The 6,184-nt window shown below is 53.6% G+C and overlaps 1 protein-coding gene across 1 annotated transcript in view, besides 1 other annotated feature; it reads left to right on the top strand.

Moving 5' to 3' along the window:
- Positions 4,097-4,496: a silencer, noted in NCBI's record as "silent region_12675". NCBI's record gives its function as "represses an Ori minimal core promoter by ATAC-STARR-seq in GM12878 lymphoblastoid cells {active_cell/tissue: GM12878}" and the evidence as "EXISTENCE:reporter gene assay evidence [ECO:0000049][PMID:35858748]".
- The window catches only part of JAG1 (jagged canonical Notch ligand 1), a 36,316-nt gene continuing 34,850 nt past the window's right edge, over positions 4,719-6,184 (top strand). The window contains exons 1-2 of the mRNA NM_000214.3: positions 4,719-5,268; positions 5,712-6,017. Of these exons, the coding sequence (NP_000205.1) occupies positions 5,188-5,268; positions 5,712-6,017 (387 nt within the window). The 5' untranslated portion in view covers positions 4,719-5,187. The remainder of the gene's footprint in view (positions 5,269-5,711; positions 6,018-6,184) is intronic.

The following is a 6,184-nucleotide window of genomic DNA, read 5'->3' as shown; positions in this document are numbered from 1 at the left end:
CTCTGCTGGAAAGGGGCAGAAAGATAACATATCCGTGGAACAGGATTTGTGAACTTGTGTTAACATCTCTGCAAGTTCAAACAAGGAATAAGGAAGATCTTAATGGATATTTTACATGTGCCTTCTCTACAATTTGAACCTAACTGGAATGAAGAATGGGAAGAAAGAACTACTTTCCTTTCGTTCACTCTTTTTTTTTTTTTTTTTTTTTTTTTTTGAGATGGAGTTTCGCTCTTGTTGCCCAGGCTGGAGTGCAATGGTGCCATCTCATCTCGGCTCACCGCAACCTCTGCCTCCCAGGTTCAAGCAATTCTCCTGCCTCAGCCTCCTGAGTAGCTGGGATTACAGGCATGCACCACCACGCCTGGCTAATTTTGTATTTTTAGTAGAGACGGGGTTTCTCCATGTTGAGGCTGTTCTCGAACTCCTGACCTCAGGTAATCCGCCCGCCTTGGCCTCCCAAAGTGCTGGGATTAGAGGCGTCAGCCACCGCTCCCAGCCTCATTCACTCTTAAAATCTACAGTATCACCATTCCTTTGAAACACACTCTCCACTCAGTAGTGCTGAAGACCAGTATTGTGGTGTTGCCCACCATATTCTTGGCACCCACAAAATACCTGGCAAATCAATAACTATCTTCCCCAAGATTTAAGAAGGAAAATTTTCAAACATAGAAAAATGTCGAAGAATTTTGCAGTGAACACCACTGTAACACCTAAATTCTACCATTAAGACTTTACTGGCTGGGCGCTGTGGCTTATGCCTGTAATCCCAGCACTTTGGGTGGCCAAGGCAGGAGGATCATCTGAGGTCAGGAGTTTTAAAGCAGCCATGGTCAACATGGTGAAACCCCATCTCTACTAAAAAATACAAAAATTAGCCGTGTATGATGGCATGCATCTAATCCCAGCTGCTCGGGAGGCTGAAACAGGAGAATCACCTGAACCTGGGAGGCGGAGATTGCAGTGAGCCAAGACTGTGCCACTGCGCTCCAGCCTGGACAACAGGCTCTGTCTCAAAAAAACAAAAAAAGACTTTACTATTTTGCTTCAGCGTGTAACCACCCACCCAGCCATCCTCTCTGATCCCTCTAATTTTGTATGCATTTCAGTGTCAGTTGCAGATATCATTCCACTTCCCCGCTAAATGCTTCAGCACTCATATAACTGGAGGTGAATATCTGTTCACAATTCTTTTTTCCTCTTTTGAACACCTAATGAAATACAATCTTAAATGTACTATTTAATAAATTTTGACAAATGCATACACCTGTGTAGCCCAAACACCTATCAAAAATATGAAACATTACCCCACAATGCCACCAGAAGAGCCTCAAGCCCATCCCAGTGAAGCTCTGCTCCCACCCACCCACCCTCAAAATCACTCTTGTGATCTTTTTTCACCAGTTTTTCCTGTTCTGGAACTCCGTATAAATAAATTCATACAGGATGTAGTCTTTTGTGTCTGGCTTATTTCACTTAACATAATATTTTTTAGATCATCGATGTTACTGCTTATAATAGCAGTTCTCAATAAATATTGATTAGCTTATTTTAACCACAGTGTTGATTAACCAAGGATTACAGTTGATTAGATGTACTTAAATACAGCTAATATAGCTTGAATGTCTCTTATAAAGCTTTTGCAGGTTCAGAACTGCTATATGTTGTTGACTAGATAAAAGTGGGGCAAGTTTTCTGGGAAAAGAAAAAATGAGGCATCCATCATCTTTTTAGAATTAAAGGAAAAGATATCCAAGGATGATGTTTGAGCACACGAGACAGGTCAGATAGTAACTGACTACAAGCCTCTCCCCTTCTCTCAGGTGTAGGTATGACAGCTAAAGATGGCATTTTCCACAGGAAGGTTGTTCTGGAATATTCATTTACACTTGGAGGCTATACCCCAAAGCAGGACAAGCCCTGCCAAGGGGGAATCTCTGTATTTCAGTTCTCTCGGCAGCAGTTCCTCATTCTCTAAGGAGGGGGCCTGACAACCGGCTTCAAGGAAGCAGAGGATAGAGCTTCCACTCAGTGTCTGTTGTGGTAAACGTGACTGGCTTTTTGGGGGAGTCCCAATTATTTGGAAGAGCCCCAACTGAAAATTTTCAAAAGAATTCCCTCTAGCCCACAACTGCCTTCTCTAAAAGTGGGTTCCCAGGCTCAGGAAGGGTGTGGGACTCTGTGCTATGTGACATAAAAATTTTGTGTTTATCAGTGATTTGACATTCTTGTTAGGTGTAATCAGGTAGTTTTCACCTCTCAGAGTTTATATTTTCTTTCCTATCAGTCAAATGGGCTAAATTCACTGGTGGACTGGAGGTGACACCAGCTTGCATGTGGCCCAGATTGCAACTGGTGGCACCTGCAATCTCAGGTAGCCCTTCTAGGTGAAGCCAGGTGGAGATCTAAACACTTTAACTAAAGGTCTGGCTCCGCAGCCTCTTTCCTGAGAGCTGTGGGGGGCACAAGGCACAGAATTAAAACAGGGTCCGACATAGGGAACTCCAAGGAGTGTGCTCTTTAAGATCACACCAGCCTTTTTCAGCACCATTTTGCCTTTTTTTTTTTTTTTTTTTTTTTTGAGATGGAGTCTCGCTCTGTCGCCAGGCTGGAGTGCAGTGGCATGATCTCAGCTCACTGCAACCTCCGCCTCCCAGGTTGAAGCTATTCTCCTCTCTCAGCCTCCCGAGTAGCTGGGACTACAGGTATGTGCCACCACGCCCAGCTAATTTTTGTATTTGTAGTAGAGACCGGGTTTCACCATGTTGACCAGGATGGTCTCAATCTCTTGACCTCGTGATCCACCCGCCTCGGCCTCCCAGAGTGCTGGGATTGCAGGCGTGACCCACAGCTCGCGGCCCATTTTACTTTTAAACCGTTATTTAGCACCCAAACTCAGGGATACTTGGGAGTAGAAATTAGAACGGGACAGATAAGTGGGGAGACTGGTGTTGATGGAAACCTCAGTGAGAAAAGTGTAGATGGGATTACAGTTGACAACTGGTTGCCTTGATTTAGGATAATTGGGGAAAGGGAGGCTGGGGCACATTGAAACACCCAGGTTGTCGCTGCCTACCCCAGCTGCTAACATGACCAGCTGTAAACTTGCTCTGTTCTTAGAAACCTCCCTTCCAAAACATGGATTCTCCCGCCAGTGCTCAAGATGGGACACATTACCACTAAGTAAGCACTTTTCTTAGGAGCATTTCTTAGGCTGTTAAAATGCCAAGACTCCTAACCATCCTTGGTAGCTTTGAACCTATGTAAAGAGGTCAGTTAGCTGCCCTAGTTTATTCCTCAGAATGATGAGATTTGGCACTGAAAATATTGTTCATACTGAGCCTCCCATCAAATGCAATAAGTAGATAACCACAAATACCCACCCTTTTATGCTCATAACTCAGCATGTTGGAAACTATTTTCCCTTGACCTATTGCCAGCCCATCACGCCCCACACCCAGGAGAACTCAAGCCCCAAACCGGCCGCTGAATAGTCACGCTTTTCTGCAGGACATACCTACTATTAGGGCCAAAACTTTGTCCACCCTTCAAAGGAAGTCGATGTTTCCATATAAAGGTCCCCTCAAATGCAACAGCAAGCCCGTGGGAGAGGGGTTAGCAGAGGCTACGGCCAGCCCACGGGCTTTCTTCGACCTTGATTATGACCAGGAGTGTAGCTGTTAATTGCGAGGCTTGCCTCAAGGTGGAAAACAGTATCGGTTTCCACTGCCACCCCAGAGAAGGCAAGTTCCGCGGCTGGCGGTGCTGGGGACACGGTCCCTCCCAGGCCCATCTCTTGCCACCCAGAGAGCTGCTCGGAGGCCGCCTACAGGTGCAATCCCGGCACTGCGGCCGGGGCGTCGGGCCGGGGAGGGCGTCCAAGCCCACCAGCATCTCCGCCGGCCCTTCCCAAAGCCTGAACAGGGCCCCGGCGTGCCCGCCGCCTTCTACCCCCGGTTTCCCCGCGCCTCTGCCCCGGCGCGGTTTGGATAGGAAGCTGGGAGCCCTCCCAGGCTCCGCAGACTCGGATTTGGGAGGGGGTGGGACGCGGCCGAGGCTTCCCCTCGAATCTGCGGCAAGCCTGGCTCCAGGAAAGTTTTTCAAAGTTCCCAGCAGCGTCTGCCCAGGTCGCCTCCGCGGGGCGAGCAGACGGCGGCAAGCGCGCCAGCCTCGCCGCCGCCTCTGCCGCCAGCAGAGCGCTCTGGGCGGCTCGCTCGCGGGAAGCGGGCCGAACTCCCGGCGGGCAGGCAGGCCCTCCTCCCGGGGCGAAAGCCGCAGCTGACGCAGGCGGTTCGGAAGGCGGAAGCTGCCCCGCTCCGACCGCTCAGTCAGCGCCGCGGCGCCTACACCTGGGGCCCCGACGCGCGGGCAAAGGCGCACGGCCCGGGGCGCCCGAGGGGGCGGTCCCCGCTGGGGGCCTCCAGGCGTCCCTGAGCAACGATCCCTTCCAAGTACCTCCCCGCACTCTCCCTTCCCTCCTGGCCCGAAGCTCCCGAGGGCGGGGGTTGGTGTGGGGCCCTGGTTCTTCTACGCCGCCCTGAGCATCCCGCTGCCCCCAACCCCTTCCAAGTTCCTCCTCGCACTACCCCCTCCCCAGCAACGTGAAGGGGAGGGGCGTGCCCAGGGTGAGCACGCCCTCTCATGAATATTAATAAGCGCGCATGCGCCCTGCCCGGCGTGCTGGGTAGAGGTGGCCAGCCCCGGCCGCTGCTGCCAGACGGGCTCTCCGGGTCCTTCTCCGAGAGCCGGGCGGGCACGCGTCATTGTGTTACCTGCGGCCGGCCCGCGAGCTAGGCTGGTTTTTTTTTTTCTCCCCTCCCTCCCCCCTTTTTCCATGCAGCTGATCTAAAAGGGAATAAAAGGCTGCGCATAATCATAATAATAAAAGAAGGGGAGCGCGAGAGAAGGAAAGAAAGCCGGGAGGTGGAAGAGGAGGGGGAGCGTCTCAAAGAAGCGATCAGAATAATAAAAGGAGGCCGGGCTCTTTGCCTTCTGGAACGGGCCGCTCTTGAAAGGGCTTTTGAAAAGTGGTGTTGTTTTCCAGTCGTGCATGCTCCAATCGGCGGAGTATATTAGAGCCGGGACGCGGCGGCCGCAGGGGCAGCGGCGACGGCAGCACCGGCGGCAGCACCAGCGCGAACAGCAGCGGCGGCGTCCCGAGTGCCCGCGGCGCGCGGCGCAGCGATGCGTTCCCCACGGACGCGCGGCCGGTCCGGGCGCCCCCTAAGCCTCCTGCTCGCCCTGCTCTGTGCCCTGCGAGCCAAGGTAGGAGCCCTTCTCCGGGCCTCCCTCCCAGCCGTCCTCTCCCTCCCCTCGCGGCGCCCTGGGCGGTTGAGCCCCGCGAGCAGGCTCGGCAGCCCTCGAGCGCCCGACTCCTCGCCCCTGCGCCCGAGCGGCTGCACCTGGGCTGAGCGCGCCAACTCCCCCACGGGAGCCCCTGCCTCCTGAGGGTGACCCCTCCAGGCCGGACAGGGGCGCGTTCGCTCCGCTGTTGCCCCCCGGGAAGTCGTCGGATTTCTTCCGCACTCGTGCATTTTTTTTTTTTTTTGCCCCGGAATCATGTTGAGTCCTTGAACGTAGTTTCGCAAAATTATTTTCACTCGGCGAGGAGGGCTCGTCGGGGCGGGGAGTGGGAGGGAGTCGCCACCTCTATACTCGAAGAAAACAGCTTTCTCCCGCGCTGACCTACCTCCTTCCCTCGCCGGCAGGTGTGTGGGGCCTCGGGTCAGTTCGAGTTGGAGATCCTGTCCATGCAGAACGTGAACGGGGAGCTGCAGAACGGGAACTGCTGCGGCGGCGCCCGGAACCCGGGAGACCGCAAGTGCACCCGCGACGAGTGTGACACATACTTCAAAGTGTGCCTCAAGGAGTATCAGTCCCGCGTCACGGCCGGGGGGCCCTGCAGCTTCGGCTCAGGGTCCACGCCTGTCATCGGGGGCAACACCTTCAACCTCAAGGCCAGCCGCGGCAACGACCGCAACCGCATCGTGCTGCCTTTCAGTTTCGCCTGGCCGGTGAGTGACTACTCGGGAAGGAGGCCGGGCGGAGCCTCACACCCGCGCCTGGCCGAGCCCTGTTATCCCTTGCGAGAGGGATTTAAAGGGCTTTGGCTTGAAACTAGGCGCTAACTGGGGAAATCTCTAGGGGTGGCGGGTGAGGGAGCCGGGACACTATAGTTAGA

Source organism: Homo sapiens, chromosome 20, assembly GCF_000001405.40.
Source record: "Homo sapiens chromosome 20, GRCh38.p14 Primary Assembly".
NCBI classification, from domain to species: domain Eukaryota; kingdom Metazoa; phylum Chordata; class Mammalia; order Primates; family Hominidae; genus Homo; species Homo sapiens.
The sequence above is the reverse complement of the archived record's forward strand: the minus strand, read 5'-3'. Positions and strand labels throughout refer to the sequence as shown.